This window comes from Homo sapiens, chromosome 6 (assembly GCF_000001405.40).
Source record: "Homo sapiens chromosome 6, GRCh38.p14 Primary Assembly".
NCBI lineage: Eukaryota > Metazoa > Chordata > Mammalia > Primates > Hominidae > Homo > Homo sapiens.
This window is the reverse complement of record NC_000006.12, coordinates 167,546,864-167,571,929: the sequence shown is the minus strand read 5'-3', so window position 1 is coordinate 167,571,929 and position 25,066 is coordinate 167,546,864. Positions and strand designations below refer to the sequence as shown.

At 50.7% G+C, this 25,066-nt stretch overlaps 3 long non-coding RNA genes across 4 annotated transcripts; 1 reads left to right on the top strand and 2 right to left on the bottom strand.

Moving 5' to 3' along the window:
* Nucleotides 1-1,413: 1,413 nt before the first annotated feature.
* On the bottom strand, nt 1,414-6,016 carry LOC105378130 (uncharacterized). 2 transcript variants are annotated; one of them, NR_188005.1, is made up of 3 exons: nt 5,699-6,016; nt 4,772-4,876; nt 1,414-2,818 (listed from the first exon to the last, which is right to left on the bottom strand). It is a non-coding gene; the product is annotated as an uncharacterized LOC105378130 (long non-coding RNA). The 2 variants fall into 2 exon arrangements; NR_188004.1 differs by having other exon boundaries at nt 4,772-6,016.
* A 5,407-nt stretch (nt 6,017-11,423) lies between these two features.
* LOC124901464 (uncharacterized) lies at nt 11,424-12,384 on the top strand. Its single transcript, XR_007059882.1, has 2 exons — nt 11,424-11,786; nt 12,133-12,384. It is a non-coding gene; the product is annotated as an uncharacterized LOC124901464 (long non-coding RNA).
* An 8,153-nt stretch (nt 12,385-20,537) lies between these two features.
* LOC105378129 (uncharacterized) lies at nt 20,538-24,289 on the bottom strand. The gene is made up of 3 exons (XR_943268.2): nt 23,973-24,289; nt 21,603-21,648; nt 20,538-20,966 (listed from the first exon to the last, which is right to left on the bottom strand). It is a non-coding gene; the product is annotated as an uncharacterized LOC105378129 (long non-coding RNA).
* Between the last annotated feature and the right edge of the window lie 777 nt (nt 24,290-25,066).

Here is a 25,066-nt window from a genome sequence, read left to right as displayed (position 1 = left end):
CTGACATATACAGTTTTCTCAAAACAAAACAAAGTGTTGTCTGGTATCTGAGCAGGGGTACGGATTGAATTAAAATGAAGCCTTTAAATCACAGCGCACAGCATTGACAGAAGGTTGGATGCGGGGGAAGGCAGGGCTCGGCTTAGGGAAAGCCACAGAGCAGCCAGGGCTGTCTTAGCCTTGAGTATTCACGGCCCCTGGAGGACCCAGCTCTGGTGTGGAGGCCCGGGGACCACACAGGCGCAGCCTAGCTGAGGCAGAGCCCGGCCTGCTGGCTGGGGATCCTGGCCGCACCCATCACCAGCAATGTGACCTTGGGTAAATTTCCTGTCTTCCCTGTGCCTTGGTTTCCTCATCTGTGAGGTGGGTACTAACAATACCTAGGCTGGCATTAGTGGGAGGATTCCTAGATATATGTGTGTACATGGACGTTGCCTGGAAATATAGTAATCACTTTTTTTTTTTTTTTTTTTTTTTTGCTATTGTATTAGGGACATTTTTACAGAAAAGTTACTGAGAAAACGTTCTGGAAGAAGGCTATTCTGATTTCTATTCATTTAGAAACGACACCTCTGGAAGGACTTGAGTCTGGCTGTCCCAAAAGGCAGCTGCCTGTCTGTGCACAGTTGAGCTGTCAGGCCCCAGGGGTGCCCTGTTGGAGCGAGGAGGACACTCCCTCCCATGCTAAAGGGGCCTTCCTGGCGCTGGCCGGGCACACAGTTCACAAACATCTCCTCTTCAGACTTGATTTACGTTAGTGATTCCCTCAGGCCTGCCTCCATAGTGGTGTCACACCCTCACCCCCAGGAGCCCAGCGTTGAGCCCCTGTGGAGTCTCCAATTCCCACTCCCTGTCATCATCAGGATGCAATCAACTTTCAAACTTCCGCGTCTCTCACATTGGTCCCATCCAGTGGACACCACGCCTAGACTCCTCCAACCCATTTCCGGCGTCACTTCCCCGCCTTATTGTCAGTATACCGAGCACTCACCGCATTCGAGACAGTGTTAGGCACAGTCAGACCTGGGCCTCAGCTCCAGAGGCTGGCATTTCAGTTGGGAGAGCAGATGCCAGGCTGTTCATACCCAGTGGAACCACAGTGATGATGAGTGGCTTGGCAGATTCCCGGGGCCTGAGTGACCTCTGATGGAGTCTGGTGGTTGGGGGAAGGCTTGTGTGAGCTCACGATGCTAAGTGAAGACCTGTGGGATGAGTATGCATTAACTGGGTGAGGGCAGGTGGAGACACGGAGCCGGAAGCTGCCTGGCAGCTGCTTCAGGCAGAAAGGCCAGGATGTGCCAAGCACCCAGGGCAGGAAGGAGCGGATGCTCCATGGAACTGGGAAGGGCTGGTGGGGCTGAAGCCGGGGAGGAAGGCGCCGTGTGCAATGAGCAGGGCCGAGACCCTGCGAGGCCCCATAGACCTGTTACAGGTTTTAATTTTATCCCAAAGACAGAGTGAGGCTGTCTCCCCCAACCAAAAAACAGTTCTGATTCTGCACACACGCTCCCATAACTTTATATTGCCACCAAGACAAAGTCTGAAGGCATTGCCTCGGCATTGGAGGTTGTGTAGTAACCTGGCCCTGCCCTCCTTCCTCAGCTCCGTGTCCTTCTAAGTGGAGCCTGCTGTGGAGCAGACCCATAGGCCAGCTGGAGTTGAGTGCACTGAGACAGAGGCACAGCACCCGGTGTGATTTGGAAAGTAGAGTCATGAGTGAGCCGGGACCCAGGGGAAGGTCTCACAGAGGAGTAGAAGAGGAGAGAGGCCTTTCCTGAGCAAGTGTCATCTGAGCTCAGCTCTAAGGACTGTGTGGGAGTTTCCTAGGTGCAGAACAGGTGGAAGGACCAGCCAGGGAGAGGTGACGGGTGTACGAGAGGCACAGGTGGAAGGACCTCCCAGGTGGAGGTGACGGGTGTATCAGAGGCACAGTGGCCGGCACACCCAGGCCGCGTCGTTCGGTGACTAGTACAACTGTGGCTCCCCTTAGAACGGGCTGTCTGCTCCCTTACGTATCCCGGCGCTTGCATTTGATCATGTGCCTGTATAGTATTTTTTTCTTCACATTTTTGGCCTCTTGAAGTAGACTGTGGCTGCCTTTCAGGGGCGATATCTTTTAGTTCTCAGAATATGGCATAGAGTTAGGGCAACCAAATTTTAAAGCCAAAAGCAGGATGCCGTCTCCTCCACGTATGAGCTCTTTTCTAGCAGGTGTTGGAGAAAATGGTTGCTGTGTCCTAATGCTTCTCCTAGGCTTGGGCTGGGGCAGTCACGTGGCCTCTGTGCAGGGTGAGTCTGACGTGTGTCACTTTGCGTGGGGCTGCAGTCCTCCTCAATGTCCATGCTGTGTGCAGCTAACGCTGGGTGGCCGTTAGGTACGCCTCGAATTGCATGACTCTGGTGGCTGGTAGATAGCTTTTTTATTATATCATTTTTCCAAAGTACGAGAAAATGGCAAAAGCGCAGCCTCATCGCGTGACTCACGACCTCCACGGCTCATTCTGAAACTGGTAGCTCTGGGACCACTTTACGTGCTCAATAGACAAAGTGGGGATATTTTCACTCACAAATGGCCAGTGAGTGTCCAAATCCACTTCATTCCCGTTGGAGATGCGCTGTCTGCGGTCGCTGTGCAACAGCAGTGGAGCCTGTTCTGACCGGGCCCGACCCTTCCGGGACCCTGCTGAGTGCAAGGCCGTCACTGAAGGCCTTGGTCAGCCTGGGCCATGCGTCCCTTCCCGAAGAGGCGAAACCCGTGGCCGGCGGCTTCCCAGAGAGAAAGGCAGTGCTGTGTGAGTTCACGTTTTCCAGGAGCCACCTTAGAAAAGTAAAAGGAAACAGATCAAATTCTTTTCCATAATGTATTTTATTTAACCTAATACATCCAAATTTTGATTATTTCAGCATTTCAACCCATCGGTTTCAACCTTTCAACTGCAGGAAAACTGACCCAAGAGAACATTCTGAACTAGACGACAGGCCGCTAAACCCGAGCAGCAAGCTCTCCTGACGGGAGGCCAGATGCTAAGTATCTTCGGTTGATACATCAACTGAAGGTTGAAAACCCATCAGTTTCAACCTTCAACCCTCACGCCCTGGGCGCCTGGGCCACTCGCACTCAGAAGCGGCCGCAGAAGCTCTGTTCCTCTCCTCACGCCCCCTCCGAGGACTAAATCCAAGCTCTGCCTCCACAGTCACTGTTTCCATTTCTCCTTCAGGGAGCTGGGAACAGCAGCTTAGTGGCCCTTGAAAAGGAGTTTCCCAGTTATGTCTCCTATGCCCAAAAACGACATGGGAGTCTCCACGAGACTCAGCATGGCTGGGGCCAAAGATACTTGAGTAAAGACGGCAGTGAACAGCCCTTGGAGGCAGCCCTTGGTGGGGTTCTGTGTGTGTGTGTGTGTGTGTGTGTCTGTGAACACACACAATCAATGGTAAGAAGGCAGAGCTTGGCTAAACACCGACATCTGACAACCCTCACTGAAAATAAATCTGGGCTGGGCGCAGTGGCTCACACCTGTAATCCCAACACTTTGGGAGGCTGAGGTGGGAGGATCACCTGAGCTCAGGAGTTCGAGACCAACCTGACCAACATGGTGAAACCCTGTCTCTACGAAATATACAAAAATTAGCCAGGCATGGTGGTGGGCACCTGTAATCCCAGCTACATGGGAGGCTGAGGCAGGAGAATCGCTTGAACCTGGGAGGTGGGGGTTGCAGTGAGCTGAGACTGCACCACTGCAATCCAGCCTGAGTGACAGAGAGAGACTCCATCTCAAACAAACAAACAAGCAAACAAACAAAACAAAGCAAAATAAATCCGGTCTGGCCCAGAGACTGGCCACTGAGAGAGAACATGGCCATTAAACACAGTCCATAAACCACTATCCCCTGCGTTGCTTTACAGCAGGATGGCACACTTCCGCCCAGGATGGCACACTTCCACCCAGGATGGCACACTTTTGCCCAGGATGGCACACTTCCGCCCGTGGGCTGAGTCCAGTCTGCTTTTGTAAATGAACGTTCACGCTGCAGCCACGCTCATCCTCCATGCACCCCTGGCTGCCTTCACTTTACAACAGCAGACTGAGCCGTGGTGACAGAGACCTGGAGGCCTGCAGAGCCGAAGATACTTAGCATCCAGCTCCCCATCAGGAGAGCTTGCTGCTCGGGTTTAGTGGCCTGTCGTCTAGTTCAGAATGTTCTCTCGGGTCAGTTTTCCTGCATCTCCTCATGCACGGCCTGGCAGGACCTCGGCTGGACCTTGGCACCCCTCCCACTGTGTGCAGCTGTGTCTTGCCCTCATCCAGATGGGTTCACATTCTTGACTCCCCAGCCCTTGGCCACCAGAGTGTTCCCGTGGCTCCCCAAGTAGCCTGTACCTCCTTGGAGGATTACTGGAGGCCTTGTCTATGGTGGCCTGGGTCAGAATTTGCACGTATGACTCAGCAAACAGTATGTCTTGTGAGTACAATAAAACCCTGTGTGTTGAGGTCAGGAATAAGGGCTCATTCCCCTAGCCTCAGGGAAGACTGCTGGCCTCCAGCCATCCCTTCGAGGACGGTCCCTCCAGCCACCGCCTGGGCTGCAGAGAGCTGCCAGCCCCACGCCTCAGCCCTTCGTCCCACCACGGATCTGGCTGGAAGCACTCGGCTCAGCCCTCTCGCCCCTCCTAAGGGACCACTCGGTGGCCTCCACCAGCACCCTGTCTGGCTGGCTCTCCCGCTGACTGTCCATCTTCCCTCCTGTCCCCTGTGGGCTGGTGACGGACCTGCTGTCTGTGTCAGGCTGCTCAGCCTAGGCTGTCCTCCTCTCTCTGTCCATGAGAGCCCTGCTGGGGTCTCCTGACGGCCGTGGGGCTCCATCCTCTGGGCTGCTAAAGGGAAGAGCTTACATGTGCAGGTGGCCGCAGGCACCCCAACCCTCCACAGAGATGGCTTCAGCCTGGAATTGAAGACAGACCCAGCCCAGGGTGATCTCTCCTCGGCTGGCCCTGGCCCAGGCCCACGGCCCCACACTTGCTCCCGCTGAGGGGCTGCACGTCATGCGGCGCTGGAGTCTGGGCAGAGGGAGCCACCCAGGTCCAGCTGCTCTCTGCACACGGTCGGCTCTCCCCGAGCGGATGGGAAATGGGGCCCAGCACACCAGGGAAGGGCCAGGAAGGGGAATTCTGTTCCCCCTTGTCCATTTTGCCTTGTGAGGGGCAGCCTGGGGTGAATTGAAAGCTGTGAGCAACTTTTGCTCCCTGGGACCTTGGACACATTTTCTATCAGGAAAAAAAAATGTGCCATTGATTTATCTGCCTTCTCCCTGCCCAGCCTCCACATTTATAGAGCAGCTGTATTAGGTGGGACCTGTCTGATTGCAGACAGAACTTGTTCAACCTAGTTTAAGAGGAATAAAGAGGTCGCAGTGGTGGCGTGCTGAGGCTAACCCAGGCAGGTGGCCACCGCATGGGATCGTGCCAGGACTACCCGCTCCTTCTCAGCCTTGTCACCTCCCCGCTCCAGATCCCCGCCCCACTCCCATTTCTGGCCTCCGGTGGTGTTTCCTTGGAGCTCTTTGTGGGTGGTCTTTCTGGTGGCTCCAGCAATTCCAGGGCCAGCCCGGGTGGTCATTGCTCCCTCCTGGCTGGCCGCTCCCTTGTCGTGGCTGCACTTTCCAGTCATAAGAAAGCCGCCGAGGGCTGGTCACACACCCACTCAGGAGGACTGGGAAGGTTGGGTGGTCGCACATCCACTTGGGAGCCCAGGAGCAGTAAGGAAGGTCGGGTTTCATGGATGAAAGTGACAGGAGTGCTGGCCAGGTCCCGCCCACTCCTGCTCAGAGGCTGCTGACCATGGGAGTGGCCATGGTCACATGCAGGGAGGGCCAGACTTCCTTCCTTCCTGATGAATCCAGATGAGGTCCTGTCCATCAGATGAGGCTTCCTTCAGCCTGGCTGTGTTCACCCTGAGCTAGGAGGGTGTGGGAGGGGCACAGACTGATAAGACGCAGCTAGCTGGCAGCAGCGCTGTCCCATAGAAATGCAATGCTTGCATGAGTTTATGTTTCCAGGAGCCACCCTAAAAAAGTAAAAGGAAACAGATACAACTCATTTCAATAATGTATTTTATTTAACCTACTACATCCAAAGTATCATTTCACATTTCAACCCATCAGTTTCAATATTTATCAACATAAACAATGGTTAATGGGCAGCTTTTCCCTTCCTGCTGAGTGTGGGCCTCCTAGCACAGTGCATCTCTGTTGGCACAAGCAGGTTTCCAGGGCTCCATGGCCATGTGTGGCCATGACCTCCAGCCACAGCTGGGCCGCTGTGAATCTGCAACAGGATGAGGGGCAGGCGGGTGGTCCTGCTGGTCTTGGCCTGCTTGAGAACTGGCTGTCCACAGTCTAGACCCCTCCCCATAGCCTCCAACCCCCTTGGCTGGTGATATGGTTTGGCTGTGTCTCTACCCAAATCTCGTCTTGAATTGTAACTCCCAGAATTCCCATGTGTTGTGGGAGGGATCCAGTGGGAGGTAATTGAATGATGGGGCAGGTCTTTCCTGCGCTGTTCTCATGATAGTGAATAAATCTCACACAATCTATTGGTTTTATCAAGAAGAGTTTTCCTGCACAAGCTCTCTCTTTACCTTCTACCATCCATGTAAGACATGACTTGATCCTCCTTGCTTTCTGCCATGATTGTGAGGCCTCCCCAGCCATGTGGAACCGTAAGTCCGTTAAACCTCTTTTTCTTTTCAGTCTCAAGTATGTCTTTATCAGCAGCATGAAAACCGACTAATCCAGCTGGTTCGTGGGGGCCATGGGCCCTGCAGTCATAGAAGCAGACAGGGCTCCCTGTAGCCTGGCCCTGGCTTGAGCACCCACACATCTGCTGCATTTCAGCCAAGCAGGTCCCCCTGTCTGCCCGCCATACTGAGCACCTGCCGTGCCTGCACACTGCCCACAGTTGGGGGTGGGGGTTCTATATGCCTTGGCTGACCTTGGATGGTAAGAGCATCGAAGGGCATGGAGACTTGAGGGTGCAGAGCTCAACCGCTGGGATGGCTCTACCTCAGGGACGCTCACTAGTTGAAACCCCATGGAACAGAGGGCACATGCCTGACTCTGCACCCAGCTCAGGCTGTCCTCCCATGTCACCTGTTCTTTGAGTATCTCACAGCCAAACGCCTGGTGAGGCAATGGCTGTGCAGTGCCCTCCCCAGGGTTTCTGTGCATGCACCCTTCCTCCCCAGCTCAGCACCATGCAGCCCTGGGTCCTGTGGGTGCATTTCCCCTCAGTCCTCCCTGCAAGGGTGGGTTGCTGTCCCTCTGGGCAGCTGTCCTCACCCCACACTGCAAAGCACCCTGCATGGACAGCCCCCACCACACCATCCCTCCCGGAACCACCAGTGCACATGGCTCTGCCAGGGACAAGGGAGAAGTGAAGCAAAGATGTGGAAAAGCTGGAAGTCGGAGAGCGTCCATTACTGCTGGTGGCCGGCACTGTCTGTCCCCGCCACGTGAGCACCTTTCACATGGGCACACCATCCTTGGGGTTTCATAGTGACATTTCTCTCTCTATCCACCCACGATCCACACACAGACACATACATATACATTGCATAGACCTGTATATAAAAATTGCATGTCTAAATCACACACACACACACACACACACACACACACACACACACACACACACGTATATACATATTTCTATTTTCATTATCTAAGCCTCTCTTTTCCAAGCCTGAGACTTTTCTTCTGTGTAACTAACTAAGGGTCTGTTTAAGTGTTTTGTCAAACTTAAGATCATTCTCTTTCTAGAAAATTCTGCTAGTAGAAATTCTCCTTTCTACTGTACCCACTCTGGTACCACAGAAATAAATACATCAAGTTTCCGACTAAATTGCATGTTTGAGTTTCCTTCAAGCATAACAGGAGTTGTTGCTGTGGCCTGGAGCAGTCACATGGACTGGAGCTTGACACTGAAGCTCCACGAGGGAGAGGCAGTCTTGGCATGAGGCCTGGCACCCGGCAGGGATGGGATGAAGAGCTGCAAAAAGAATGAGTGAATGCATGAATGAGGGAATGAGTGAATGTGTGAATGAGGGAATGAGGGAATCCATGGATGAGGGAATGAGGGAATCCATGGATGAGGGAATGAGGGAATCCATGGATGAGGGAATGAGGGAATCCATGGATGAGGGAATGAGGGAATGCATGGGTGAGGGAATGAGGGAATCCATGAATGAGGGAATGAGGGAATGCATGGATGAAGGAATGAGGGAATGCATGGGTGAGGGAATGGGGGAATCCATGGGTGAGGGAATGAGGGAATCCATGGGTGAGGAAATGAGGGAATGCATGGGTGAGGGAATGAGGGAATGCATGGGTGAGGGAATGAGGGAATCCAGGGGTGAGGGAATGCATGGGTGAGGAAATGAGGGAATGCATGGGTGAGGGAATGAGGGAATGCATAGGTGAGGGAATGAGGGAATCCATGGGTGAGGGAATGAGGGAATCCATGGGTGAGGGAATGAGGGAATCCATGGGTGAGGGAATGAGGGAATCCATGAATGAGGGAATGAAGGAATGCATGGATGAGGGAATGAGGGAATGCATGGGTGAGGGAATGAGGGAATCCAGGGGTGAGGGAATGAGGGAATGCATGGGTGAGGGAATGAGGGAATCCAGGGGTGAGGGAATGAGGGAATGCATGGGTGAGGGAATGAGGGAATGCATGGGTGAGGGAATGAGGGAATGCATGGGTGAGGGAATGAGGGAATGCATGGGTGAGGGAATGAGGGAATCCGTGGGTGAGGGAATGAGGGAATGCATGGGTGAGGGAATGAGGGAATCCGTGGGTGAGGGAATGAGGGAATCCGTGGGTGAGGGAATGAGGGAATCCGTGGGTGAGGGAATGAGGGAATCCATGGTTGAGGGAATGAGGGATCCATGGATGAGGGAATGAAGGAATCCATGGGTGAGGGAATGAGGGAATGCATGGGTGAGGGAATGAGGGAATTCGTGGATGAGGGAATGAGGGAATCCGTGGGTGAGGGAATGAGGGAATCCATGGATGAGGAAATGAGGGAATGTATGGGTGAGGGAATGAGGGAATCCATGGATGAGGGAATGAGGGAATCCATGGATGAGGGAATGAGGGAATGTATGGGTGAGGGAATGAGGGAATCCGTGGATGAGGGAATGAGGGAATCCATGGATGAGGGAATGAGGGAATCCGTGGATGAGGAATGAGGGAATCCGTGGATGAGGGAATGAGGGAATCCGTGGATGAGGGAATGAGGGAATCTGTGGGTGAGGGAATGAGGGAACGCATGGGTGAGGGAATGAGGGAACGCATGGGTGAGGGAATGAGGGAACGCATGGGTGAGGGAATGAGGGAACGCATGGGTGAGGGAATGAGGGAACGCATGGGTGAGGGAATGAGGGAACGTATGGGTGAGGGAATGAGGGAACGCATGGGTGAGGGAATGAGGGAACGCATGGGTGAGGGAATGAGGGAACGCATGGGTGAGGGAATGAGGGAACGCATGGGTGAGGGAATGAGGGAACGCATGGGTGAGGGAATGAGGGAACGCATGGGTGAGGGAATGAGGGAATCCATGGGTGAGGGAATGAGGGAAGGCATGGGTGAGGAAATGAGGGAACTCATGGGTGAGGGAATGAGGGAACGCATGGGTGAGGGAATGAGGGAACGCATGGGTGAGGGAATGAGGGAATCCATGGGTGAGGGAATGAGGGAATGCATGGGTGAGGGAATGAGGGAATGCATGGGTGAGGGAATGAGGGAATCCATGGGTGAGGAAAGGAGGGAATGCACGGGTGAGGGAATGAGGGAATCCATGAGTGAGGGAATGAGGGAATGCATGGGTGAGGGAATGAGGGAACGCATGGGTGAGGGAATGAGGGAACGCATGGGTGAGGTAATGAGGGAATGTATGGGTGAGGGAATATATGGGTGAGGGAATGAGCGATTCCATGGGTGAGGGAATGAGGGAATCCATGGATGAGGGAATGAGGGAATCCATGGATGAGGGAATGAGGGAATCCATGGATGAGGGAATGGGATCCAGAGTGCAGAGGGATGTGGAGCAGGGCAGGAGGGCAGAAGTGAGATTGTACGCATGCAGTTTTAGAGTGGCAGCTGCCGCCATCCACAGTCGCGGTCTACCAGGCCCCTGCATGCGGATGGTGCTCAGAGCACGCGAAATCTCCCCTTCATTTCCACACTTCCTTCACAGCCTTAGAAATCCTGCTGCTGCCTCGATGCCTCCCTGCTACGGACTCTTCTTGTGGGTTTTTTCCATCAGGTGATTAGTGGGTTGTTTTCTGGGTTGAATTGTATTTTGCCGCTACTGCCTTATATTTGCAGCCTCTCCAGAGCGTTAATTCATTATTCATGCAGTTTATGGGTGAACTTAAAATTAAATGAACGAATTTCAACTGTTCACCTCAGTCAGAAACTTTACAATGACAAGCAGAAATTGGAATGGCTGGTCCATGTGGGGCTGGCCCGGCTCTCCCTGGCCTGCATGCATGGGCCGGACTGCAACTTGCTCTGCCCCACCGGGTCCAGTCCTGCCTTGGGGAACCTGCAAGTAATGCTTGCTTATTCCCCTCTTCCACAGTGGTTTTAATGGTTGCAGTAAGTTCCTCATTCTGACTCTAATATTTTGGCCCAGGATATAGAAGCCCAATGAATCCAAAGTACTCCAGAAAGCGAGGACGGCAGGAACCACAGCTGACATCGTGGAATTCAGGCCACATGTCAGGCACTGGGCCACGCAAAATGTGCACTCCCTCATTGGGTTCTCACCACACTGTGGGGCAGGTGATGCTCACCCCTTGTGATGGATGAGGAAACTGAGGCACAGAGGGAGGAAGGAACTGGCTGTGGTTTGCACAGCTGGCACAGTCAGATCCAAACCAGGAAGTCTGATGTCAGAATCTTCTCTTCCAAGACGCTGATCTTGTTGGCATTTACATTGATCTGTGGTTTGTACTGTATGTGGACACCCAGAGCCTGTCCTCCTTTGAAATAGCTGGGATGTGACTATCGATGGGCCAGTGCTTGAACCCTCACTCGCCAGGAGTCTGAAGCAATGGCAGGAAGCTGTGGGGATGTGAGATCCTGGCCATGCTGCTTGAGGCCTGCTCTGCTCAGAGGATGACACCCACCTTAGTGCCACAGGGTCTCCATCTCTGAAACAGAGCCAACCTCAGCACCACCTTTGTGGAGTTGTGGTGAAGAGTACGTGGGTCTGTGTGGCTATCACTCTAATGACCAGGCTGGCTCTTTCTGGGGGTACATGGTGGGTTGGATGGGGAGGAGGTGAGGCAGCCTCTGGCTGACAGAGGCGAGGGCTGTAATATCTTTTGTGGACTGTTTAACTGATGGCCACAGTATAGAAATGTTGGTGCTAAAAATTTTAATTTCAAATGAAACCATATGAAAAATAGCTTCTCAAAACTTATACCTCTGTGGCTACTCTTAGTAAGACAGTGTGGTTTTATTAGTTTATGAGGCCATTTTCAATAGTGTTGTAAAGACCAATGTTGATCCGAACAAACTGGGATGGCCAGTTACATTGTGACTCCCGGGTCGATATCCTTTATCTCTGGACTTCCTCCTGTGGTGGAATTTCAGAGAACTGCCAGATGCTGCCCGTTGGGGATCAGGAAGCCGGGTCCAGGAGGACTAGAGAAAGCTGGCTGCACACGATGGGACCCAGGGCCTAAGGAACAGAAAAGGAGGAGCAGAAACTCTGGTAGAGACCACAGGAGAAGAGGGAGGGAGGGCAGCTGCAGAGATGCTGGGAGAAGGGCTGGGATGAAACTGCGGAGGGGTCAAGGGTCACTGTATGGAACACCAGAGCGCCTTCAGGAAGCAAAGCCGTGCTGAAAGGGAGAGGAAGCATCTGCTGGGTGACATGCTGCTGCCCCTGCCTGCACCGTGTGGGTTTAGATGTGAAACAGGTGCAGGGGTTTGGGAGAGCGGCACCGCCTGGCTCTGAGTTTCCACATTCATAGCAGGGGGACGGGAATCATGCCATGGAGTCTCGGGTTGGCAGGGACTTGGAGGTCTGTTTGTGTGCTTTTATCTGATCCCTTCAGCATCACCCCTGCCAAGTGGACTTTGACCATCAATGATGAAGTCCTGGTTACCGCTTGCATCAGACCATTCCATGCATGGATCCCTTTTTACCTGTGAGAAGATTCTTCTATCTCTGAATGGATGCTAAAGAGACACAATATTCTTGTCTCCTGGGAGGGGAACTGGATGGATGGGGATTTTACAAAAATGCTCTTTGTATTCTTTGAATTTTGAAATGTCAGGACATTATCAATAAAGACATGACAGTAAAATTTAGGGGGAAATGTTGCATTAAAAACTGCATGTTTCAGCCGGGTGTGGGGGCTCACACCTGTAATCCCAGCACTTTGGGAGGCCAAGGCTGGAGGATTGCCTGAGGCCAGGAGTTCGAGACCAGCCTGGCCAATATGGTGAAACCCCATCTTTACTAAAAATATATAAATTAGTGGGGCGTGGTGTCGGGCGCTTGTAATCCCAGCTTCTCAGGAGGCTGAGACAGGAGAATCACTTGAACCAGGGAGGTGGAGGTTGCAGTGAGCTGAGATCTTGCCATTGCACTCCAGTCTGGGATACAGATCGAGACTCCATCTCAAAAAACAAAACAAAACAAAACAAAACACCCTGCATGTTTCCACGCCAGCGCTCAAGTTCTGATCCTCAGGTCCACACAGGCCTTGCCCTCTGCCCTCAGTCCCTCCCTAGTTCCAGGAAGAGAGCAGCAGAGCCACTCATAACTCTTTCTTAGGTGGGAAAATCCCTTGTAAACATAGACTTCAGTCCCTTATCAATCCCAGACATACTCCCCTAGTTGCCTTTTATGGGTGGCTAAAAAAGTAGGCTCTAGTACTAAAAATAGGAGACCTCCTCTCATAGGGCCGGGGGAAGGGAGGCCGCAGCTGTCCTTGTCTGTGAACCTTGTTCCAAGTAAGACAAACCAAGAGTCAGGCGCATGCACCAGTGAGGCTGTAGGTTGATCCTGGGTTCAGGCCACACCTCAAGTCTTTCTTACGTTTGTTGCTATTAATTTTGCCTTCTTCATCCTACGATTATCTATTTTTGGAATTAATACTGCATTTTAGTCAGTTTCTCTTAAATTTTATCTCATCATTCATCCTGTCAAGATGATCAGTTCCTTAAAAGCAGAGACAATACTTAACTCGCCTTTTTCTCCCTGGAAGGAAGCCTTGCAAGTATCAGAAATTACTCATGGAAAGTATAAGAAGCAGTGCCGAATAATCACTTGTGAACCTCACTTGATTTTTGTTGACTTAGAAAGGGTGTAGACTTCGAAGACCACTTGGTATTTTAAATGAAGTGATTCATCTGTAGCTAAAGACTGACTTCTGCCCCTAGCTCTGCTGGTTTCTCCTGGGTGGCCTGGGGAAGTGAGCTCAGCTGCCCTTCCCTGAGCAAAGGGATTGTCTCGTGGCCTGTGAGGTTCCTCCCACCAGCAGTTATCTGTGTGCTGTGGTTCTGGGTCCCGTTTCTCCAGCACAGATGAGACCCCTGTGGCCGTGTGCTCCTGCCTGCCTGCTGCACTCGGAGTCCCGCTCACCTGGTCAGAGATCCTACAGAGCAGGGCACTGTCTGGAAATGAGCCCCAAATTCATGGTTTGTCCGATGGCCACAGAGCAACCCCTCCCTTATGAATGCTTCTGTGGATTTTCAGGCCTAAAAGTAAGCATTAAAATTCATGCAGAAAAAGAAAACATCCAGGGCTATCATTGGCCATTTACATTTTGGATTTTCTAAGTTAAGTCCTTAGCAAAGTAATATTTTGGTGATTTTTTTTAAAGAAAAGAAAGATAATACATACACACGTGTATCTATGCAGCCCACCCTGCAGGCTGCTGGGCTGCAGACGGGTACTGGGGAGGAGAGAACACTGGCTATTAAATCAAGTTCAGAGTTTGATGAATGTCTTAGGCTGGACATTCGCATGTCTGAATTGAGACAGTGTTGTGATTTAAAGCTATGGTAGGACCATCTATTACCTAGGAGGGAATAGAGAATTCATGAGCCTGTCTGAGTTTTCATCAGGAGCAGGAGACGATGATCTCTACTGCATAGTGTTTAAAGGAACAGCAGGATACCAAAGCCAAAGTTTTAATTGTTTCACAAATTCTTGTTAAACGTATTGTTTACGCATCTACTATATGCTAGACTATGATATATCTACCAAGAAACATCCCTACTCTTCATAGTAACTGTCTTAGTCTATTTCCTGTTGCTATAACTGAATATCTGAGACTGGGCAATTTATAAAGTAAAGAAATTTATTTCTTAACAGTTCTAGAGGTTGTGAAGTCCCAGGTCAAGGGACCACATCTGGTGAGAGCCATTGCGTGGGTGGGGACTCTCTACAAAGCCCTGAGGTGGCACAGGGCATCGCGTGGTGAGAAAGCCCCCGAGAGAATCAACCTGACTTTCATAACAGACCTACTCTCATGATAACAAACCCACTCTTGGGATAAGACACTAATCCATTAACCCCTTTCACCCATAAATGCATGAGTAGATTAATCCATTTATGTGGGTGGAGCCTTCATGACCCAATCACCTTCCAAAAGCCCTACCTCTCAAGATGGCTGCATTGGGGATCAAATTTCAACATGAGTTTCAGAGGAGACAAATATTTAAACCAGAGCCATAACTTATAAAGAAGCTATTATAATTTTCATTTCTGCAAATGAAAATGAAGCCCCAAAAGATTGTTTCTTTCACTAAAAAGGAAGCTGATACTTATTGAGTACCTACCGTTTGCTACTTGGAACCCCAGAATATATGTGGGTGACATGAAAATGCTATGGAGAAAAGACTATGCCAAGAGATTGGCCTTAGTTGTTATAGCAAAAAAGAATCTAAGATTTGGGATACGGGGTTATGAAAAGAACAAGTTTCTTTTTAAAACTATAATATCCAGGCTGAAAATAAAAAGCATTTATTTCAGATAAATTTAGGAGAAACTGAGCAACAGATTGTTCTTTATGTATATGTATTATATCATTGTTGTGTTTTTCTGATTTAAAACTAATATAATTTTGTTGGAAAATGAGCAAAGCGGAGAAGTTGACTTCCAGACATGTTGGAATAACTGGTACTGGACTTGTCCTTCCACAGTAAACAATGAAAAAACTTGAAAAAATATACGTTACAGCTGTTTTCAGACAGTAGGCAACAGGCAGCACAGGACTGTGGTCGATTCGGGAATAAAAATGAGGCGAGCATTAAGATTACTCTGGCTTTCTTAGATTGTGCCCCAGAGAGGAGAAGCCCAAGCAGAACATGGTGGTCTTGTTTAGTTGAGAAGACAGAGATGGGAATTGGTGAGGTTGGGGTGCCTGTAATTTTCAGAGAAGAGAGTAGGGAGCAATGAAAGAAAGAATCCTAGAAATCTACATAAGAATACCGTTGAGCCTGTTGTTGAACGCTAACTGTGCATGAGTAGGATGAATTTTTACCAGATGTGGCAAAGAACTAGCAGAAAGCTATGAAGTAAAAACTTCCCCGGAATCACACATTTGATTCCAGTCAAGCCAGAGTAAAAAGACCTCATTGAAAAACCTGAGACATTCACTAAAGATTTTTAAAGGGATCACCCCTTAGGAGAGAAGCTAAATTACACTTAGAAAAAAAGTGACCCTAAACCTTCCCTAGTACACCTTAAAAACTAGCCTCAAAAGAATAGATCTGGTAAGCAAGTTACTCAAATACTTACCAAACACAATACAACAACCTTCAAAAGAGGGCAATGAAATACAGATGCTTAACAACATACCACTGTAATGTCCAGCATCCAATAAAAAATTACTAGACATGAAGAAGCTGGAAAATGAGCCATAGCCAGGAGAAAAGTTAGTCAATACATACCTACCCAGAAATGAAAGAGAGAATGGAATTAGCAGGCAACAACTTTACAGACTATTACAAATATGCTTAAAGATTTGTTTTTAGTTTTGAACATAATAAGAAAAAGAATGATTATATAAAGAACCAAATAGAATTTTTAGAGTTATAAAATACATTATCTGAATGGAACAAGTCACTGGATGGGCTTCATAGGAGACTAAGCACTGCAGAAACAAAGATCATTCAATTTGAAGACATATTGATAGAATCTATTTAAAATGAAGCATCATTGGAAAAAAGATTTAAGAAAACGAACAGGGCCTCAGTGACCTAAGGAAAAATATCAGGCTAATATAAATAATTACATACTGTTTATGAAATTGGAGTCCCAGAGACAGGGCAGAATAATTTTTGAATGACCTCAAAATTTCCAAATTAATCAGTACTAGAAACCCTCAAGTCCAAGAAGTTCAAAATACCCAAACAGTAAAAAAACCCAAACCATAACAGAGCACATCACAATCAAATTGCTTCCTGGTTCATCTGTCCCTCACTGACATCTGTTAGAGTACGTAGTCAGGCATGAGCAGGGCAGGAGAGGGACTCCCAACCAGGAACTTCAGGCAGCCATCAGGGGATGGTCAGGTGGTTGCTAACTGCCTCTCTAAAATAATTGCTTGCAGCCAGTGCCAGAGAAAGGCAGTCTCCCTACAGATAGAAAAAACCTGAAGCTGGTGATCAGCAGCTTCCCAATAAGATCTTGGAGTTGGGCAAGTGGGTTCAAGCATGCACACTAAGAGGCAAAATGGCAGAGTTTAACTGGTATATGACGTTCCTGTAGGAGCACTTGACTGATAAGGGAAGAACGCTTCAAATGAGCATGCTCACAACGCCAGTAAACAGGTGCAGGGTGACCTCCCAAGCGCTAGCAGGCCACTGCGCATGCGGACAGCCCACCCCAAGGGAAGAACCAAGGAAGAAGGGAGGCAAGACGCCGGAAGCGTGCCAATGTATAAAACCCGAAGTCAGAGGCCAAACCCCGCACTGTCCTTCAAGATGCCTGCTTGGCCCTCTTCCAAGTGTACTTTTCTTTCTTTCCATTCCTGTTCTAAAGCTTTGTAATAAACTTCCACTCCTCCTGCTCCAAAACTTGCCTCTGTCTCTTCTTCTGCCTTAGGCCCCTCAATCGAATTCTTTCTTCTGAGGAGGCAAGAATCGAGGTTGCTGCAGACCTGTGCTGACCCACCCTCGGTAACACATCCACTCATCCCGCAGGTGCAGCCGAGTCTCCTGGCGGAGTTTTAAGAGCACACACACAACACAACCCCACACACACCATACACACCACCCTCTCACACACCACACACAGAGCACACACACACCACTCACACAACACAACCTCACACACACCACACACACACTACACACCATACACCAACACACCACTTCAAACACACACACGCATCATCCACCCCCCAACACACACTGTACACATACCACACACACACCACATGCACACAATACCCATACGCACCACACACATACCACACACAGACAAAACACACACTCACCATACACACGCCACATGCACACCACTCGCACACCCTACACATCACTCACACACACACCAAACACTTACACCCTGATGTTAGAGGTTGATTCTATCCTGAACTTTGAATTCAAAATTGTAAAAATATTTCTTTCTGAATTCCAACAACAGTTTACCCATTGGTGACTTTTCACAGTTTACCCATTGGTGATTTTTCCCAGTTTACCCATTGGTGACTTTTCCCATTATTGAGTGGAGAGTAGGATTTTAGCTGTGGCCAAGTGGAGCATCTGTGAGAGATCTTGGATTCAATGATGGCTTTGCTGGCAGCACGGAGCAGGTTCCCCTGAAAGTGGTGACAACGCATCCCACTCCTCCCCTTTCGGGCAAACAAGAGCAGGGCTTCATGCCAGAAAGACCCCTGCTCAGACAACGCATGCAGCCAAACAGAAACTATGCATTGTGTCGTCTCCAAACCATGCAAGCCACGCTGCAGCCTGGTGGTGAGGCCTCAGCACTCGGCCTCCTGTGGCCCCGGGAAGGACGTGAGGACACATTTCCATTTCAAGTAGGTGCAGATGTTTCTTAAGTTTGACAAGTGCTGCTCTAGTCCATAGTTGAGCACATTTTTGTGCTATAGCCTTTCAGTAAGGTAGAAGAATTGTGGTTTCCTTATCACCAGCTATGATTGGGAGCATGCACGCTTAGGGGTTCGGCCCCTCTCAGGCCCGGGGGTTGCAAGAAGGCTGTCAGGGAGCCTCAGCCCACTGCTCTGGTGGCCGTGGGAGCTGTGGCTGGAGACAGGCTCGGGTGGCAGAGTCACCTCACCTTGTCCTGGCCGCTGCCCACAGACTGGCGCCTGGGTGTTCTCTGCTGCACAGGCCGCCCCACCAGGGAGCAGTGGAGCCAACAGTCACCTCCCTGAAATGTGGAACTGGGGACCGGACAGGGTTGATTCTGCTGCTTTGGGTGACATATCTGTAACGGGAAGAACTCGGGGGTTCTTGGGGGCCCTCTCCACCCCAGAGCTGGGAGAGAGCCAGACTCTTGGGGCTGGACACAGGGGACAGCGTGAGGCAGATCCCGTGGGTTCTCCAACCCTGATCCCAGCAAACCTCCTATCTGGCCTTGGGATCCATCAGATTCCCTAATATTCTCCCAATAAATGCAACACCTCTTCCTTCCCCAGGCAGGTCCAGTGGTTTCACGTTACCGGCAACCACCAGGGCAATGCAAGCTTGGGAGGAGCCAAGCCAGCTCAAAAGCCCCGAGGATGAGCTAGGCCAGTCCAGGGGTCACGATCTGCTGGGCCGTGGTTCAGTGCCCTCCCCTCCTCTAGGAATAGAACGAGAGAGAGACAGAGAGACAGAGACAGAGAGAGAGACAGAGACAGAATCAGAGACAAAGAAAGTGAGAGACAGAGACAGAGAAAGAGATAGAGAGACAGAGACAGAGACAGTCAGAGACAGAGAAAGAGAGGGAGATAGAGAGACAGAGACAGAGAAAGAGAGAGAGAGGGAGAGAGATAGAGAGAGAGACAGAGACAGAGAGTTAGAGACAGAGAAAGAGAGAGAGGGAGAGAGATAGAGAGACAGAGACAGAGAGAGTCAGAGACAGAGAAAGAGAGAGAGAGAGAGGGACAGAGACAGAGAGAGAGACAGAGACAGAGAGCGCGATTGAAAGACGGAGAGAGGAGGAAACCTCAAGTCGTCCCTGGGCTGAGACCAGACCCACCCTGGGGTTCCCAGTTGCAAGAACTTTGCACACAAGCTGGCTCATGTGGTCTTGGGCTTGCCATCAAGAGGGTTCTATGCACTGAGCGTCCTCCTTCTGGCAGCCCCCTGAGACGCCATGTGGCTTGGGCACAGCATGGGACAGTGGGTGTGGGACAGTTCTTGGCCACACGGGCTCCAGCACCAGCACGGCCCCCTCCTTGGGTGCCAGCCTCGGGTTTGGATCCAGGAGACAGGTTCGGCAAGGCTCTGCAGGACCTACAGCTGTGCCGTAGTGGGCCCAGGAGGGAGCACCGATTTTGCAAAGGCAAGAAAGGCTCAGGCGCAGCTGCAGGATCGGGAGCAGCCCTACTGTGTGCCGTCCACCTGTGGGCCTTCCACGTGTGCGCAGGAGGGCTGCAAAGCCGAGTGTGCGTGAAGGCTGAGAAAGGCCGAGTGTGCATGAAGGCTGAGAAAGGCCGAGTGTGCGTGAAGGCTGAGAAAGGCCGAGTGTGCGTGAAGGCTGAGAAAGACCGTGTGTGGAAAGAAGCCAGAGTGCTCTGTGCAATGCGGTCCCAAGCACAGGCGACCGAGGGGGCCTCCCGGGCCAGAGCAGTGTGGAGCACCCCCACCACAGCACCTGCTTCCTGGGAGCCCTTGCTCAAGGGGGCCTCCTGTCCCCCCTTGTCCCGGTCCCCAGAGCTGTTCTGGGCTCCTGTCAGCCCCGTGTCTGCTACCATCTCTGTGGCCTCGCCCTTTGCCTCGGCCTGGCGGGAACAGAGCAGGCCCCTGGGTGGCCACCAGCTCCTATTATCAGTAGGGCCCCCTCCACCCTCCACGCAGTCCTCAGGTGCCCCGCACTGGCCAGAGGCTCTCGCCCCAGCTGGTCCTGGGGGACCCTCGAGGGGAGCGTGCCCGGGGGCTGGCACGGAGCCCGTCTCTCCCAGAGGCCTCTGCCTCTCACCAGCGTGGGCACCCCACAGGCCCTGGCTTCCTTCTTTGCCTCTTGCTGGCCGGGAGGAGAGGGTGGTGGAGGGGCTGGTAACCCACATCTCACCCCTCACTTCGGGGTCACCCCAGCTGCGTCTTTGTCAGCTTGGGGTGGAAAATGGAAGGGACTTTGTGAACACAGGGCCCTTGGAGGCTGACGGCCACGTGTCTGGAGCAAGGCCGGGGCATCCGGGGCCTGGGGCGCACAGGCCGTCCCACCATGGTGCAGGCCCCATGGGGAAGCTGCAGCCCTGCCCGTGTGCAACGCAGGGAGGAGACGTGGGGCTGGTCCGCCCCAGTGGCGTTTGAAGCAGGAAGCTCAGTATGGACTCAAGTTGTTGTTTATTATTACAAGAACAAACTTATTTTCTGAGAGATGGCTCTTAAGCAGGCAGTATGCTGAGGGCTTTACTATTTAATTTTTAGAGCCGTCTCATGAGGCAGGAACTATTTTTATATTTACGAAAGAGAGGGTTAAGGAACCTGTCCAGAGTGGGAGGGGACATCCCCTCGGTACGTGTGCAGGAGAGCCAAGGGGGCACCCTGGGGGACGGCGCAGAGCGGGAGGAGACCCAGGCACACAGTGGTGGAGATGGCTGGAGCCAGGCCAGGCTCTGAGGAGGCCCGGAGACAGGCGCGAGGCCAGGGCTGCTGCGGGAGCCACGCCAAGGACAGGGTGTGTATGGGGAGGCGGCCGTGCTCTGGACGACCCTTTAGAGTTGGCTCCAAAGCTCGCCCGCAAAGCTGTTTTGCCCTTTGAAGAGAAATAAGATCACTTAAGATTTCTGTTTGTTTTTTTTTAACAGAAAAAGAAAATAAATACAAATATTATTATTCCTATTATTTGCAGGAATGTGAGACCAGCCCGGTTCAACATTTGGAGTTTATTTGAGCAGAGACAACCTCTTGAAGATGGAGAATCCCTCTTTTTTTTAAAAGCAGTTGCTGAATTTTAGAAACACATAATGTGTGTTCTCTCTACATCCAATATAGTCAAAGGACGGCTTAGTGAGGACCCCTTGTCACACCCAGGGGAACCCAGAGAAGGCAGAATGTCTCAGCTTCCTGTCCCACAGCCAGGGGTTCTCAAACATTTGTCTGTGGACAGCGGCACTTGTGCCCGTGCAGGGCATGGGGGACAGAGATTGGTTGATCTGCGTGTCATCACCCTCATGGATCAGCACCGTCCCTCTCCAGCGACCTTTCTATCACCATCCATTCATTCGCTTATTTATTCATTCATTCTCTCATTTCACAAACACCCCATGAGCTCTCATCACGGTCAGTGGGACAGAGGTGGTCCCTGACTTTGGGGAGATGGTATCCCAGTGGCCCTTCCATTCCATCCAAGCCCTTTCTTTCCACGGAAGCACAGACACCCCTCTCTTACCTGCACTCTTTTCTTTAGGCAACTAAGCCTCAACATTTGAATCTATCTAAAAATAAAGAAGAAGAAATGGCATTTTATTAGAGATTTTTTAAAGATAAAAAGTAATCAAGCCTCTGAAGAAAAGACCATCCATCTCCCTGTGGCCTCGCCAGCCATCACGAAATGCTGTAATTTGGGGAGAGAAGATGCATTATACTGCATCTTAATATTAGAAAAACCCGCAGTCTTTGACTCAGCAGTCCCACTTTTAGGTTTCTATACTGCAGAATAAAAGCGTGAGTACATAGACACTAGAATACAAAGGTTTTCATTTTCAGAATTATAACACAAAAACGGAATTGACACGGATGTTCCTCAACAGCGGCAGAGGTGAAAAAATTATTGTAAGGTCCACTGTGGAATCTTTTGCATCTGTGAAAAGTAATGAATCAGTGACATCCAAATTAATATGGAGAGATGTTCATTATTCAGTGAAATAAAACAAGCTGCTGAGTAACATGTACTGTAGCATTTCATTTTTTTTTTTGTAAAAAGAACAATAATGGCACCCTGTACATCTGAGCAAAGATTAACCACGGAGGCTGCACCTCAGATTGGAAACATCGGTCACTACAGAGCTGGGATGTGAAGAAGGTTAGGAGGGACATTCCAAACGATTTTAGCACACAGACCTCTTTTTTTTTTTTTTTTTTTTTTTAACTTGTTCCAACCAACATGTATCACTTTCAAAAGGAAAAAAGAAAAGAAAAAAATCCAATGATTACCAGAAGTCAGTCACAATAGTAACAAGACAGAAAAAGACTCAAAGCACAGCCGCTCGTGGGACGTTTCAGTGGATGAGAGAGTCCCTGGCATGTTCTGTGCCGGGAGCTGGCAAATTTGCTGCATAATGGGCCGGAGAGCAGGCGTTCTGGGCTCTGTGGGCCACGTGGTCTCTGCCATACCACGAGAGCTGCCCTGTGTGATAGACCCATGAGCACAGCACGTGACAGGCAGTGGGGGCTGGGTTCAAATGAAACTATTTCTGGACACCAGAATTTAAATTTGGTATAATTTTTGTGTGTCACAAGATGCTATTTTTAAAAATTTTTTTCAATCTTTTAAACATGAGTCTATGGGCCATTCATGTTAGAAAGTCAAACAGAATCAGCACATTTCATTTTAGAAAAATACAACCCTCTCATCCCAATATGGATGGATGAAACCAGGAAAAAATATTTCATTAAGGGAAAAAAGTGCTTAACAAGGCCAGGAAATGCGGGAATAAAGAGATGCGGAATTCTGCACACGATGGGCTGTGTATGTCCCACTTTATAACATAGAAATAAAAACGTTTTTAAAAGTGTGAAAAAAAATTCTCAACTTGTGTCCGTTTAGAAAAACACCATGGGCTGGATGTGGCCGGGGGCTGTGGCTGCTGACCCTGGTTCCAGGGCCGCGTGGGTGAATGTGGGGGGTCCTTGCCCTCAGGAGCAGACAGGCAGTGGGGGGTTCTTGCCCTCAGGAGCAGACAGGCAGTGGCCTGGGGGAAGACAAACTCCTGCGGCCTCTCAGTCTTCATGGGCATCACCTCTGGCTACTCCCAGCCTGGGATTTGTGTCTAAAGCCAGGCTGCCCTGGCATGTGTGAAAGCTGACCAAGCCCAGAGGTTCCTCTCACCGGATGGCCGGCAGGAGGTTTCTGCAGGCCTGATGAGCCGCACAAACCAGGGTCAATTTTCTTGGGTGGGGGTGACTCACCGCCAGCATTCCTGGTTCCTGGACAACAGCAGGTCCACACAGCCACAACTTGGATAAGGACACACTTTCAAAGCAGTGGACTGACAAGCAATGCCAGGAAGAACTGGGCTTCCTTGCCACAATGTTGTATGTGGGGAGAAGAAAGATCCTAGCATCGTTTGAGGTTCAGAAAGATGGCTTGGTGGGCGTGGCAGCAGACTGGGCTGCAGGTGCAGACAACAGGGATGCCTGCAAACCACAGCTGAGCATTGGAAGGCCGCAGCCCTCCTTCCCCGCTAGAAGCAGGAGTCATGGAAAACTGACACAGCTGAAAGCCAAGTGCTTTCCTGGGCAGGCACCTGACCTGACTTTATTCAGACCCATGCTCTCTGATAACAGAGGGTCGAAAAATCATTCTTTTGCTCAGGACGTGTATTTTGCACAAATATCACTTTAAATAAATTTTTTACAACCTTTAATAGATCTCTGTTGACCCCACTCAAATTAAACATTATTAAAGATAAAGACAGCATTTGGGCCTTAACACGTGCCAGGCCACCAGGGACCAACAGGGAAGAAATGATCCACAAAAGCTACAAATGCCACAGAATCCACCAAAGCCACAGAAGCCACGAAAGCCACAAAAGCCTACCATCTGCTGCAGATGGAATCTGAAGTCACGTGGGCTTCGGAGGCACAGCTGTTTCCTGGCAATGCTGTTTCCTCAGGCGGTGGCCACATTCTTAAGGAAAACGTAGGCCTGCTTTCTCCCAAATCTACAGCTGCAGGCAACTTTAAGGCATTTTCGTTTGGACCAGAGCATTCTGTCTGTTGGGAACCTGTTTCAGTGAAATTTGTTCAGATTGTAATTTTTTAAACTGAAAAACAGAACAAAAACATAACAAAACAGAACTGCATAACTCAGATCTCATGAGCCATGGACTTGTCCTTTGGTTAAGAACCAGGTACAAGGAGTGACAAGGTGAGGAGGGAAGAGGGAGGAGAAGGGAGGGAGGAGAAATGGGATGAGGAGTAAGGAAGGAGGAGGGATGGGGTGAAGAAGGAGGAGAGATGGGGTGAAGAAGGAGGAGGGATGGGGTGAAGAGGGAGGAGGGAGAGAGACAAGGTGAGAAGGGAGGACAGGTAGTAGGGAGGGATGAAAGGAGAGAGGAAGGAGGAGAGAGGAGGAAGAGTGATGGGGTGAGGAGGGAGGAGGGACTGATTGAGGAGGGAGGAGGGGTGGGGTTGGGAGGGAGGGAGGAGGAAGAGGGATGGGGTAAGGAGGGAGGAGACAGGCAGGAGGAGGGAGGAGAGAGGTCGCATCGCTCCACTGCGCTGCTCATGTCCACCGACTCGGGGACTCCAGCCAGCCAGGCAGCTGCTGGGAAAGCCAGTGTGTCTGCCCTTTCACATGACTCAGAACACATCTGAAAACCAGCCAGCCGGTCTCTGACAGGGCATCAGAAAGTGCCACCTATGGAATCCCAGGTCGCCAGCTGCAGTTTGTCCCTCCGCTGCCAGCGCTTTGCAGTGTCCGTTTTCCCGCTCTCAGACGAGGACATGGTCGGGTCTGCCCCGCAGGCTGGGCGAATCCTCGCCGCCCGGCACACAACGCGTCCTGAGGGCTGTGGGTTCTTCTTGCGGCTTGCTTTGGTGCACCTGGCTAAATATTAACTGGGCTGGCATAGCGGAGAAGGGCTTGCGGTGTTTAATGAAGTGGACATTTATTCCTAAATTGTCAACCGG